Source organism: Homo sapiens, chromosome 6 (genome assembly GCF_000001405.40).
Source record: "Homo sapiens chromosome 6, GRCh38.p14 Primary Assembly".
Taxonomy (NCBI): domain Eukaryota; kingdom Metazoa; phylum Chordata; class Mammalia; order Primates; family Hominidae; genus Homo; species Homo sapiens.
Genome location: NC_000006.12, coordinates 132,325,924 through 132,340,238, shown reverse-complemented (window position 1 = coordinate 132,340,238; position 14,315 = coordinate 132,325,924). Strand labels below are relative to the sequence as shown.

Sequence of the window (14,315 nt, the reverse complement as noted above, 5' to 3'; positions counted from 1 at the left end):
ATTTGAAGCAAATCCCTTAGCCTAGAGGTTCATGATATTTCAAGAGCTGTAGCTTTGGCCAGGCGCGGTGGCTCGCACCTGTAATCCCAACACTTTGAGAGGCTGAGGCAGGCGGATCACAAGGTCAGGAGTTTGAGACCAGCCAGTTTGAGACCAGCCTGGCCAACACGGTGAAACCCCGTCTCTACTAAAAATACAAAAATTATCCAGGTGTGGTGGTGCATGCCTGTAATCCCAGCTATTCGGTAGGCTGAGCCAGGAGAATTACTTGAACCGGGGAGGCAAAGGTTGCAGTGAGCTGAGATCATACCACTGCACTCTAGCCTGGGTGACGGAGTGAGACTCCATCACAGAAAAAAAAAAAAAAAAAAGAGCTGTAGCTTCATTTTGAGCTTGCCCTTAACATTGTATTATCTTCATCCTTAGGCTATTTTGCCTCATGGTAGAGAAATGGCAGCACAGACTTCTGATGTAGCACAGTTTCTCTTTCACATCCAGGGGAAAGGAGAGGATAGCTTTTAGCTACCATGTAAAAGTCTACAGATTCCTTGTGATTGGATCAATTTCAGCTCATATCAAGGATGGGATTACATAAGTGGGCTTAGGCCACCCAAGGAAGTTGGGGATCATTCTTAGCCAAAAGATGTAGCTCGGAAGTTCAGGATTCCTGATAGGAAAATATTGGGGAATTGATGCTGGAAAGCAACAGAAAATGATTATTATATAGCTTTAGCTTCTCTACTGTTCTAGAATTTGATCCATAAGACTGTCAGATTCATGTGTGATGCATCATTATTTCCTCCCTCAGCACCTAACGAAGAGCACATAGTATGTAGATATAGGTGGGGCTTTTGTTGGTGGGTGGGGAGTTGTCATTTGAGTCCAAGAATGAACATTCATTCATAGGAACATCTCTTGAACGAAAACATTTTTAAATCAAAGTGATAAGGAAAATTTATACTTAAAACTATATATAAACATACACAAGTGAATGTAAATAAGTTGCCTTTGATAAAAGAGGGATGCCATATTTCAGAAAAAGATCTCTGTAGAGAAAATATAGCTAAGTCTTATACATAAAAATTAGAAAATCAAATCCTTAATATATTGAGATGGCACTCACAAATATATATTTCATGATTACATAGTTTGCAATATCATTAATATTTATGGAAATATTTTTGCCTGAATATTTGTGACATACAAGCCTTAAAATTAGATTTTGAAATATTGGAACTTGTGAATGGATTACTTGTATAGACTTACTTGTTGTCTGTGAGTGTAAAATGTTAAAATTGCATTTAAAAACTCAGGATCCAACTTAAGATAGTAATACTAGTACTATTGTTTGAGCACCTACAAGGTATTTGTTGCTTCACATGGACCAGCCATTGAATGCTTAAATAATCTTATAAGTAAGCCTCATTATCACTAATTTACTGCTAAAGGAACCGAGTTGGTGAGAAGTTAAACAAAGAAATAGAGATAGAAAATAATAAAGCAAGAATCAAACCCAATAAAATGTGTTCCAAAAAAATGTTCCACCATTATGCTGCTTGTCTTATTTGAAATGTATCCCCTTGAGACATGGATTTATGTGCAATTGATTTACTAAGGAAGTGCCAGGAGAAAACACTGGGTCGGGGGTTGGCTGGTGGGGAGAGTAAGGCAAGGGAAGAAGAAGCTGAGCAAGAGTGTGATTCTGTTGCAGTTCCAGCCTCAACCCAAACCCATGGAGAACATGTCCCATCTGGGCAAGGTTGCTGGACATCCCCATCTCCATACCTTTCACCTGCCCCAGGGGAATGTATATTTTGTGGCACTAGTTCTCTGCAAGGTAGTCCTCCGAGGAAAGTTGCAGATACAAGTGATTAGAAATGAGGAACCTAGAACAGAACCAGGTGGTAGGTGCACTGAAAAGGCTCCAGGGATCTGAAGTGTTCTTGGTAGAGCACTGATGCTGTCCCATCCGTGACCCTGCTAATAAAGATACGAGTATATCACGTGGTGGTCAGGAGCACATTCTTGATCCAGACCGCCAGAGTCAAATCTGCGCTGTGACACTTGGGCAAGTTTCTTAACTTATATGTGCTTCATCTTCTGTATCTGTAAAATGTGGAATAATTCTTTTACCTAAACACATAAGGTTGCTTTGAGGATTAAATGAATATATATATTCATCTAGTCTGTACATAGACTAGAGCTGGATTGGAAGCAGAGCTATTATCATGTGACTTACTTATGGCATGTCCCACAGCTGGTTAGTCGCACAGCCAAGATGGGACCTCTGGGACACTCCTACTTCTTGCTGGCCATATACGTATGAATTTAAAATTAACTACTTCTTGTTGGCCATAGATATGTTAATTTCAAATTTTCATAAAGTTCTAGGTGATCTCTGCTGTATTGAATATCTCAAGTAATTGATAATTACTATATATGCTAATATAGGTACAGAAGGTACCTTACAGTTCATGAGTAATCTATTAAAAATTCAAACAACAATATATACACTAAGCATGCTGTGTTATAAACTGTCTTAAAAGTAATGTTCTGTTTTGTTTGTTTTTATATTCTTGAAGTGTTTGGCCAAAGGACCTAATTCATTCATATTTAAAAATAAATGACTGTAAATCATAACATGTTACCTCTTTCATCAAGTCAAATAGCCTTAATCCTAAGTGCCTAGGTGGAAATTCAGAAATCAATAAGCAAGGGAGAAAGATATTGGTATGTAGTAGAGGTATGTAGTAGAGGAAGTGATTCTCTCCCAACATATTACTCTTCAAGGGCATTTACTGAAGTAACTATTTTTAACTTACGCAGGTCCAATTAAGAATAGTAAATAAACTGGAAGAGTAAAACAAAAGCAAAGTATTTTATGTGGCAATGTTCCAATGTGAAGAAAAAAATTTCAGGTAGCACATGCATGATTGCACATACATATTAATGAATTGATGATTTATACTTATTTGTGTTTGATTATTAATCAGGACTTTTATTTGCAAGTAATAGAAACCCAAGCTGAACTAGTTTCAGAAAAAGAAAGGAATGTATCGATTCATTTATTAAGAGGAAAACTTGAGTAAATAAACCACAGTTGGTAGAGATGCAACTGGTTTCAGGAACAGCTTCAGTGAAGTGTTCGAACTCTGCCAAACCTGTCTTATCTTGTCTCTGGTACCTCTCTGTGTGCTTGCTTGATGGTATCTCACTGAATGCTGGCTTCTTTCATGTGCTGAGAAACATCATCCCTGGAGGTTGCTGAACCTCACAGCTCATATTCAGCTTCTAGAGGGGGTTGAATTCTTTTTCGTCGTTTGAAAAGTTCCAAGATAGGCTGGGCACCCTTCCCTGAACTTACCAATTGTGGCTGGCAGGGCAAGGTTGTGTTTGAAGATGGTAGACGCATGAGAATTCGGGATTACAGTAAGGGGTGAGTTATTTCCCAGAAGCCTCCTCGCCCTCATTTCTTCTCTTTTTCCTTCCTTTTCTTCATCTCTTTCCCACTTCATCTCTTCTTGCCATCACCTCATGTGCTTTAGCTGACAGGTCCATTCATGCTGTGGCCCCTTGACTGTGGCCCCTTGACACCACATCAGCAAGTCAGGATTTGCATTGCACCCTTACCTTCTTCAGAGTGGAGTGTCTGTGGTGCAAAGATGCCATTTCCTTGTTAATTCTGGTTGTCTCTCATACCTGGGATACATTGTCAGGCTAAAAGAGCCGTTCCTGTTAGGGATGAGGATACGGCAGGAGACATGGAGAGAGAGGGGCAGATACCTCTGTGCTCCCATTGTCACATGAGCATGTCAGCATGATCATATGCTCATCCATCTACATGGTTAGTTCTGGCTGAAATGTTCCCATAGGCAGCATCACTTTAGGAGCTAGCTGACCTCTTGATAACTTTTTCCAGAGATGGATTACGGGCTTTTATGTGGGCAGCAACTTGTGCCTCAGGTGGGTATGTAAAGCTGGGTGCCAGGAACAAGAACAGGCAGGAAGAAAAGTGATGGGAATTTACAAAATTTCCAGCTCATTACAGATTACACCCATCGCCTCTCTCCTTTTGTTTTAGTTTTGAATTTATCGAGTTGCAAGTTGTTTTTGAAGAGCTGTGTTCCACTCGTCCTCTCATGTTTTAACAAGCAAGGAGCCACAGGTTAAATGGGTAGAGTTGGAAGAATGAGTACAGGAAAATTGTTCAAAAGGGCGCTAGTAACCTCCCTGTGTTTCTCACATATTGCTGAGTATAATCAGACAAGACAAGAAAGGTACTTTCTCCCGCTTTACCCCCAAAATTAATAGCTAAAGCATGACACACATATATTTAGCTATAAATAAAAAAACCTATTTAGCTTCAGTCATGTATGAGAAATGTGTATTTGTGATGAGTTGATGAGTTCGTGTCACAAACAATGACAGGGACAATCATGACCTAGGTAGAAATGTACAAATCTCCAAATTTTTAGTTTGTGGTAGAAAATTGAGGATGTATGAATTTCCTAGGGCTGCTGTAATAAATGACTGCAAGCTGGATAGCTTCAAACAGCAGAAATTTATTCTCTCACAGCTCTGGAGATCAGGAGTCTGAAATCAAGATATAGGCAGGGCCAGGTTCCTTCCAAAAACTCCCCTTCCTTGCCTCTTCCAGCTTCTGGTAGCTTCTGGCATTCCTGGGCTTGTGGCAGCATCACTCCAATCTCTGCCTCCATCTTCATGCCTCCATCTTCTCTCTGTATGTATCTATGTCTGAATCTCTCTCTCCTTTCTCTCATAAAGACACATGTCATTGGATTTAGATCCCACCTTAATCCAGTATGATCTCCTCTCAACCAATTACATCTGCAAAAACCCTATTTTCAAATAAGGTCCCCTTCTGAGGTTCAAGGTAAACATGAATTTTCAGGAGACGCTGTTCAACCCAGCACAGGGAAATAAAGCAAAAAAAAAAAATATGTTTCTTTCAGCCAGCATTATTGTTTAGGTAATTGGCTATTTGAAGCCTCCAAAACCATACGGATTTTTTTTTTTCCAATACTCGGTGTCTTTCACAAAAAGCCCTTTTTGAACTGAATCTGTTTTCAGGGTAGGTGCTGGTGAAGAGAGATCAGCAGGTAGGCACAGTTTTGTCAAAGATCTCATTCTTTCAGTCACTGAAGGGAAATATACATTTCCCCTAAGATTTTCTTGCCTCAAATTCTGAAACATTTTCTTCGTTCTAAGTTCTAGGGAATTCTGCAACACATAGAATTTTTTGGTATTATCTCTGTACCCAGTCACTTGGTCTTAGGTTCTCTATGTCTCATCCCACTCTGTATAGCTCAAGTTAAGTAGAATAAGATGCCACCAAGTGTAGATTCTTTGAATCGTTTCATTACTTTCTACATTGTAAAAAATGAATATATAAAATGGGTTCCTGATATTTAAGATTTTTTCAATCATATTGTGTCCTTTGCATCAAATTCTATCCCCCCAGCTCTGCCCTCAGGCAGCTACAGAGTGGATAGAAACGCTTTCCTCTCTCATCAAAATAATGAAGACATTTGCTGAGAGCTGATTAGGAGGTGTGCATAAATTGGGAAAGGTTTTAGGATAGCCACTTCAGGGAGCTGAACAGAATGCAGAGCAAAACCAAAGAAAGATTGACGTTCTGAGGCAAAAGTGTGAGTTATGAACTTTGAAGTCTCATGCGAATACTTGTATAAAGTTTATCTCCAGTGTCCTTAGTGGAGGATGAGAAGGAGCAGATGACAGGAGTGATTCACCATTTGAGCATTTGGGTCAGTTGTGAGTGCTGGTGAGTGATGAGTTCAGTGACCTTCCAGGAGAAAATGGCTGGCTGAGCAACTGGAAAAGTGTGAAAGAGCTAACAGGAAAGGAAAGAGGCACAGAAAGAGAATTTCAGAGGTAGTGTACTCATGGGCAGGGTGTGACAATGGGATTCAGTAGCTGAAGTGGGATGCAGTATAGTGGAGATAATCAAGAAACTAAGAGGCAAATGAATTTAATGATTCAGCCTCATTGATGTTGGCTTCATGGAAAGGGTAGTATTCATTTTATTTCAATTCAATAAATAGTTATTAAGCACTCTTTGTGCTGCAGGGGCTATGTGAGGCATATTTGACCTGGATAAAGTGCGTAAGAAGAGATGATGAGATTAGGAAAAACGGTCGTTGTCAAGGTCAGCTTTATGGTCAGTGTTAATTTCCACCTTGGTTTTGGCTACTCTTGAGCAACTGTTTATTGTTGTTCTCTGCTTTTCTTGCTAAGATATCTCAAGTGTATCTGAAAGCTCCCGTTACTTGATCTAATGGAAGAGACTGTTTTCCTCTTTCAGGTTGAAGTCTTTCCCTTTCTGTCTGTGTTCTGGTTTCTGGGCTGTTCCTTTAATACACACAGTAGTTAATAAATAACCCACGGCTGCCAGGCCCTCCTTGCCTGGTCTGTTTTGCCATCAGAAGGTAAGCTCACGGGCCTGTCACCATTCTGGGTCTGTACACCCCACCTTTGTACAAGAATGTGGGATCAATAACATAGTTTGATGTCATCAGGGGAATTTCCATGTTTGTGTCTTGCCTCCACTTCCATATGCACTGCTTTGTATTTCTTTTTATTTATTTCTTCTGCCATCATACAGCCAGGCTACAAGCAAGATTAAATTAAATGTTCATTCCAGTGTCAGGAATACCAATATATCTATATTCGTATACTTTCTATGGTCATGACTTTCTTTAATAATTCGTACAATTTTAATATTTTTGAATAGAGGCAACTCTTGGCATTCCCCCTGTGATTGTGATAATAATGTGAATGTGTGAAGTAACCAGAATAAGGAACACTTTTTAAATGCTACTCTGATACATTACAGGGTCAGTATTTTTTTTTTTTTTTTTTTTTGAGACGGAGTCTCACTCTGTAGCCCAGGCTGGAGTGCAGTGGGGCGATCTCAGCTCACTGCCAGCTCTGCCTCCCGGGTTCACGCCATTCTCCTGCCTCAGTCTCCCGAGTAGCTGGGACTACAGGTGCCCGCTACCACGCCTGGCTAATTTTTTGTATTTTTAGTAGAGACGGGGTTTCACCTTGTTAGCCAGGATGGTCTCGATCTCCTGACCTTGTGATCTGCCCGCCTCGGCCTCCCAAAGTGCTGGGATTACAGGCGTGAGCCACAGCGCCCGGCCCAGCCTCAGTATTTTTAATTAAAAAATGTATAACTCTGTCATCATTACAAGTAATATAATAATGCAAAAACAAAAGTCTTGTCTTTTCCGTGGACAGTTACCCAGCACATCAGAAAGTCGGGTTAATGCAGCATTCAGCCAACAAGCAGGAAGGGGCATGGAGCTCTGTGTGTGCCTCACTCTGCTTCCTCAGATGGTGCCTTGGCTAAAGAAGAATAGCATAACATAGTTTAAAACACAAGTTTGTTGACTGCTTAAAATGTTTGTAGAACTTGTTGTGGGAGCAGAAAATAACGAGCAGCCTCCATCAGGGGATTGGTAGCAGTGCCCTGGCTTGATCAGGCTTTGTAAGCATGGCGTGAAGCATTGTGGGAAATCCTATCCTGTGCTAAGCATTTGAGCCAATGGCCCTGTCCTGCACTGATCAAAGTACTCCCATTTCCTCAAGTTGTACCCTCCACTAAACAAGTTATGTCCATCCTTAAGGAACATTCTTGGTGTCTCACTTAATATCCCCATGGTGGTCTGAAAATTTCCTCTCTAGAAATTATTCTTCTATTTTTCAGGAGTTTGATAGTCAGGTAATTTTTTCTCCCATATTATCAGTTTCTTAATTTATATTTATCCTTACATGTCATTTCCAAGCACTTCTTTTTCTTTCTTTTTTTCCCTGTCTTTGCTCACATCCTTTCTATTTTGCCAAGGGCTTGCTTCTTCCAAGCCTTTTTATCCTCTCCTCCCGTGATCAGTACCCAAGTTTGCAGCAAGGTTCCTTGTTGTTTTATGGGTTGGTGTTTTTGCTTAGGAAATCCTCATGTTTTAGGCTGCACCCTCAATCTGTAATCTGAAGGTCAGATTACAGTTTAATTCTTCTTGAAGCCCTCATCAAGTTTCAAAGAGAAGCCTTGTTATTTGCCCTTTGTAAGAAGGAACACCTTGAAAGGCCATGGGTCTGTCTTCTCATCCTAGAGGCCAAGGGGCACTGGGACTGGAGTGGCAGGGAGGCCATGAGCCCCCTCCCCAGGTGTAAGACTCCCAGTCTGGCACTGCACCTCTGAGGGCATCTGCATGTGGTGGTCCCTGCTAGTGGCTTCCAGAAGTACCTTCTGGCATTGGCTCCTGAGGTCATCACCCTTGTTGATGACAGCTGTCGGCAACTTGCCTTACTGAAGCCTTTCATCCTCCCTCCCACCGGCAGCAACTTCCAGGGTCCTTGATGCATCTCCAACACGCTTCCTACAATAATGTGTAGCCGTAGGAAAGTACAGACTTTGGGGTCACACTAGCCTGGTTTAAAATCCCATCACCCTTTCCCAGCTGTGGTACTTTGGGCTTGTTGTCTAATCTCTGAGTTTCAGTAAATCTGTAAGATAAGGATTATAACATCTTTCTTATAGATTTGTTGTAAATATTAAATGAAATACATAGAATGATTCATATGTGGCTAGTAGATAGTAGGTCTAAATAAAAGACAGATGTTATTATTATTCCAGGGATAAATTGGTAGCTTTGCAGTTTGGTGTTAGTTTTAGCACTTCCTATGAAGACAAAAAAAAAAGCACTTGCTCTTAAAAGTTTCTTTCAAGCTGTTTATTTGAAGCTCCCCAAAGTCAAGCACCACCCAGCATCACACACCCTTCACTCCCTCTTCCTCTACTTCAATGAAGGCCACTAGTTTCTGAAACTGTCGTGACAGTAACCAACTCTCCTTTGCCCTAATGGCTTCTTCCCAAGATCTACCTTACAGAGCTCAGTACAACCTTAAGGTTCTGCCTGAATTTATGAGGTATTTAGCAAAAATCTCACATGTGCCTGAATATTTTACTGTTGACATCTTAGCAGTGCCCTGTCCCCCTTGGAGGACCGAGGAACCCAAAAACGTCAAGTCTCAGACAGAAGCTCAAACTAGACATAAAAATGAAATTCTTATAGAAATTCTGGGTTTTACTTCTGTGCAATCATTGTTACTATGCAACCATGCTTGAACGATAACTACCCTTTTCAAGCAAAATAGAAAAGTTTCTGCCTTCAGGCCACACGACCTTTTAGAGACAAAACAAGTGCAAACAAAACCGTGTGCAATGTTTTTTCCATGAATGTGATGTTGAAAATGTACCTGAGGCTTAGGTGTGGCATGACTCGCTATGTAACACAGAAGAAAACTGGATTTAAAAACTGGAATTTCTTGGCTGCCCATTCAGACACGACCCACTACATACCATTTCCCCCCTTGCTTAGATTTCCCTACAGAAAAGAGAAAAACTGTGGAGAAAATGGAAAACAAAGCCATAGGAGAAAAGAGCTGAAAACACTTCATGTAAATGTGCATGCTGAAAGTAGAGAGCAAGCAAGGATTTTAAAATGCGGTGCCTGAATTTGAGTAGTTAGGACTAAACACAGAAGTGTTGATGAACTCTAAGGCTAAACTCTTGGATATTTAGCAACACGCCAGGGCTACTTTATCAGCTGAACAAAGATTCCAAGAACTCTGAGGGGAAAGAAAAAAGAACCCTGTAACTCAGCGGTCTCCAGCCTTTTTGGTAACAGGGAACTGGTTTCATGGAAGACAGTTTTTCCACGGACTGGAGGATGGGGGAGATGGTTTTGAGATGAAACTGTTCCACCTCAGATCATCAGGCATTAGTTAGAATCTCATAAAGAGCACGCAGCCTAGATCTCTCACATGCACAGTTAGTTCATAATAAGATTCGCACTCCTATGAGAACCTAATGCCACTGCTGATCTGACAGGAGGTGGATCTCAGGAGGTAATGTGAGTGTTGGGGAGCAGCCATAAATACAGATGAAGCTTTGCTCACTTGCCCACTGCTCACCTCCTGCTGTGCGGCCTAGTTCCTAACAGGCCACGGACCAGTACTGGATTGGGGACCCCTGCTCTAACTGATGCAACACCTACAGCCCACCTACACCAAGTACAAGGCTCCATTTGGTCTGCATATAGAATCTCTGGGATGCTAGGGTGTGCTTCACTCATTCTGAGTTGATTCCTAGGTTCTTGGACTAAAGTGGGCAAGTGTTATGAAGGGAACTAACAGAGCAAACAGTGGAAGGACCACATTCATGTGGATCACGCTTTCCACATTAGGACCAATTTCACTGCCCATTCTACTTGTTTCTAGTTTTCCTCTTTTAATTTGAGCAGTGTCACAAGCGCACATAGCTAACAATGTTTTTTTTCTCTTCCAAATTCTAATAATAAAATTGTTATTGGCTTTTGATCTTAATCATTAAAATAAAAATAAAATGTGCAAGGAAACTTGCAGTAAGTTTCCTTGTTGTTTCATGGGTGGATTTTTTTTCTTAGGAAATCCTCATATTTTAGGCTATACCCTCAATTTGTAATCTGGAGGTCAGATTACAATTTAATTCTTCTTGAATTTCATTGATGATAAAATCACCAGTAAAAATGATTGAGCCCTAGCCTTCTTCTCAGCACCATGCATTTATAGAGATAAATGAGATCTCACCTCTCACCACTGGTAGGGATGGGTAAAGATAACATTTTGAGGTGGAAGAGAGGGAGACTAAGAGCGTTTGTGCCCACAGCCTTGACTTCTTTTTTTCTATGTGAAAAAAAAATGCTATAAAGACACATGCACATGTATGTTTATTCCGGCACTGTTCACAATAGCAAAGACTTGGAACAAACCCAAATGTCCATCAGTGATAGACTGGATTAAGAAAATGTGGCACATATACACCATGGAATACTATGCAGCCATAAAAACGGATGAGTTCGTGTTCGTGTCCTTTGTAGGGACATGGATGAAGCTGGAAACCAACATTCTCAGCAAACTATCGCCAAGGACAGAAAACCAAACACCGCATGTTCTCACTCATAGGTGGGAATTGAACAATGAGAACACTTGGACACAGGGTGGAGAACATCACACACCAGGGCCTGTCGTGGGGTGGGGAGAGTGGGGAGGGATAGCATTAGGAGATATACCTCATGTAAATGACGAGTTAATGGGTGCAGCAAACCAACATGGCACATGTATACATATGTAACAAACCTCCACGTTGTGCACATGTACCCTAGAACTTAAAGTATAATAATAAAAATTTAAAAAAAAGTGAGAGGCAGGAGGAGGAAGAGCAAACCTGGAAAAAAGCAAGCAATTTTCAAAACAATTGCTCTGCAGAATGGGCAAAGGACAGGACAGTGAATTAACAACCAAAAAAAAAGCCGATTAGTAAAGTCCTGTTTCTTGGATTAAATGGTTATCTCATCTTTGTTGTTGCCGTTGTCATCATCATATCTTTACCATTGTCACTGTCTCCAGAACAAATTAGACTTGAACTACACAACCTTGACATAATTGAGAAGAATATCCCTTTGAGAAACTGACAGTAATTTATGCTAGTTTCACGTTTGTTGTGGGATGTTGTAGGGTGGTCTTATTTATTGTGTCCTCCCTCTCATTTATGTTCGTGTAGGTTGAGCCAGTGATACAGAGAGGCCATGAGAGTCTGGTGCACCACATCCTGCTCTATCAGTGCAGCAACAACTTTAACGACAGCGTTCTGGAGTCCGGCCACGAGTGCTATCACCCCAACATGCCCGATGCATTCCTCACCTGTGAAACTGTGATTTTTGCCTGGGCTATTGGTGGAGAGGTGGGGCTAATGATTACTGAGATGTAACACAATTAACTGATCATATTTCCCGCCACAAATATGATTCTAATTAATACTTAGAAGTAAAGCTTTAACGCTACTTTTGATATGAAGGTGGCTTAACTCCATTTTCGTAGGAAGGGATTCTTTCTTTAAGTCATTTTTATTTTATTTCATCAATTGTAGATGAATGGGGTTCCAGAGGGTTGAAATATCCTTGAAGATGGCTGGTTTTTGAGTGGAATAGAGCTCTCAGGGACTTTCATAGGACATTGTCTCATGGCATTTTCCATATTTAGGGCTTTTCTTATCCACCTCATGTTGGATTATCCCTTGGCACTCCATTAGATCCGCATTATGTGCTCCTAGAAGTCCATTATGATAATCCCACTTATGAGGAAGGTGAGTTTATTATTCATATGTTTTACCTATGATTTTTATAAAAAGTTTTGTACCTTGTAAGTCTTTAACAGAGTTGAAACAAAATAGCAGCCAGTGTTAGAAGGAATTAACCTATATATTTGTCATTCAAATTAGGATACTTTTTAAAGTGAAAGTGGGTACTATTTATAATTATACTGTAACAGCAGGCATTAACCAGCACCAAACCAGGTAAATGAGCACACGCAGTCACTAATCTTACAAAAAAAACACTTGCATGCTACCTACCAGGAAGTAGAATAATAGACTTTTCCTTTGTGATGTAGATTAGTCCCAATACATGGTGTTTATGGAACATTTTCTTTCTAACTGCACGTAAGAAAAAGTTACCATTTATTATACTAAAAAGTGTAAGCATTTTGTTGTGTGGTAAGCAAACCATAGATGTACTCAAAAAGTACTTATGCAGTGACACCGTGTAATATGATATTGAAGTAAAGAAATGTAAGGATGTACATTTTGTTTCTGAAATCATTTGTATGATATTCCAAATCCTAACATTGATAGATTTAACACGAAATTATCAACAGAAGTAACTCCAAGTTATTATTTTATATTGACTCATGCAATTTTTCAGCAAATACTGAGCTCCAACTATGTGCCAGATCTGTGCTTGAGGATATAGAGTGAGTGAAAAACAGATGCTGTTCTCACCCTTACAGAAATTATAGCCCAATGTGAAAAAGAAACAATCAATTTTTCATAGCAATCATATGAAATTATATGTATGCCAATTGGTCCAAAGAAGATACCTAACACTATGAGAGTATTTAATTGGTGACCTAATCCAGCCAGGAGTGTGTATTGGTGGGGATGGGCTAAAAAGTCTTCATTAAAGAATCAAACTGTTCATCTGGGTGACTGGAGATGCTGAAGGGTTAGGGTGCAGTGAAGAAAGATGCTGATGAACCTGCAGAGGAAGGCTGAAGCAGACCATCTAAGATCTTGTAGGACCCATTAAGGATTTTTACCCTGAAGACAATGAGAAGCAATTGAAGAGTTTGATACAGTGGAGTCAAATATTGAGATCTGTATTTTGAAAAGACCACTCTGGCTGCAGCAGCATGAATAATAGATTTTGAAGAGAGGACACGTGGTATGATATTTAAAGAGTGATGTTTCTATAAAAGTAGGTGTCAAGCTATTCTATTTGTGAGCAAGCCAATAAAGTATCTTTTTTTACCCTAAAGTAATTAATAGGAAATAGTTTCTCTCTGAATTCACTTTAATTTCCACCCACCAATTATATCCCATACTCTGAACCATGAATCTATGTTAAAAGTTTAAAACTTTCATAAACCAAGCAAAATAACCTATTAATAAATTCTAAAAGTTAGATTTTCCGTGAAATCATATGTGACTATAAAACATAAAAATTGTCATCACAATAACAATGGGATTAATTATTGAATATGTCTTATATTGCAACTTTTAAAAATTTTTTACATTTTTGATTTTAAATTATTAATAGAATAAATATTCTATACAATGTATAATACTTCTCCAATTGGAAATTCTATGTGAACTACTTCTTCCTTTTAGTCTTTATTACAAAAGTAGAAGGCTTAATTTATTTGCCTTCTCTGTTGTCAATTAAGTTGACTTTCTCATAGTTTCAATGTAAAAATGAAACATAAGCTTATTTTCCTAACAGGTTAATAGAGAACTCAGGATTTTTAGTACTTTCTATTTTTATTCATGTACATAATTAGACCAAATTTTAGATTATAGTAATTTTATTTTTATAAATATAACATAATACGAATTTGTTTCCAGAAAAGTTTTTTAATAATCATTTTATATGTGCTTAAGAAATTATTACTTTATTTACTAGATTATCTATTAATGCTCCAAACAGCTAATGCAACTAATGAACCTAACTATACAAAATGCAACTGGAATTTCTACTTATATTTTTTCCCTGTCAAACTTATAAGGAAGTAGATGCCAAAAATATAAAATACAAAACAAAATTTTGCAAGATATGTCCAGAGAAAATTCTAAGGTCAGTATAGATATTCTACATTATCATGCTTATTTGTATCTGCAC

At 39.3% G+C, this 14,315-nt stretch overlaps 1 protein-coding gene across 4 annotated transcripts in view; it reads left to right on the top strand.

Annotated features, from left to right (window-relative positions):
* MOXD1 (monooxygenase DBH like 1) overlaps positions 1-14,315 on the top strand; it is a 105,421-nt gene that overhangs the window by 61,237 nt on the left and 29,869 nt on the right. For all 4 annotated transcript variants that reach the window (XM_017010714.3, NM_015529.4, XM_047418622.1 and 1 more), the window contains exons 5-6: positions 11,645-11,824; positions 12,124-12,226. In XM_017010714.3, coding sequence (XP_016866203.1) covers positions 11,645-11,824; positions 12,124-12,226 — 283 coding nt within the window. The remainder of the gene's footprint in view (positions 1-11,644; positions 11,825-12,123; positions 12,227-14,315) is intronic.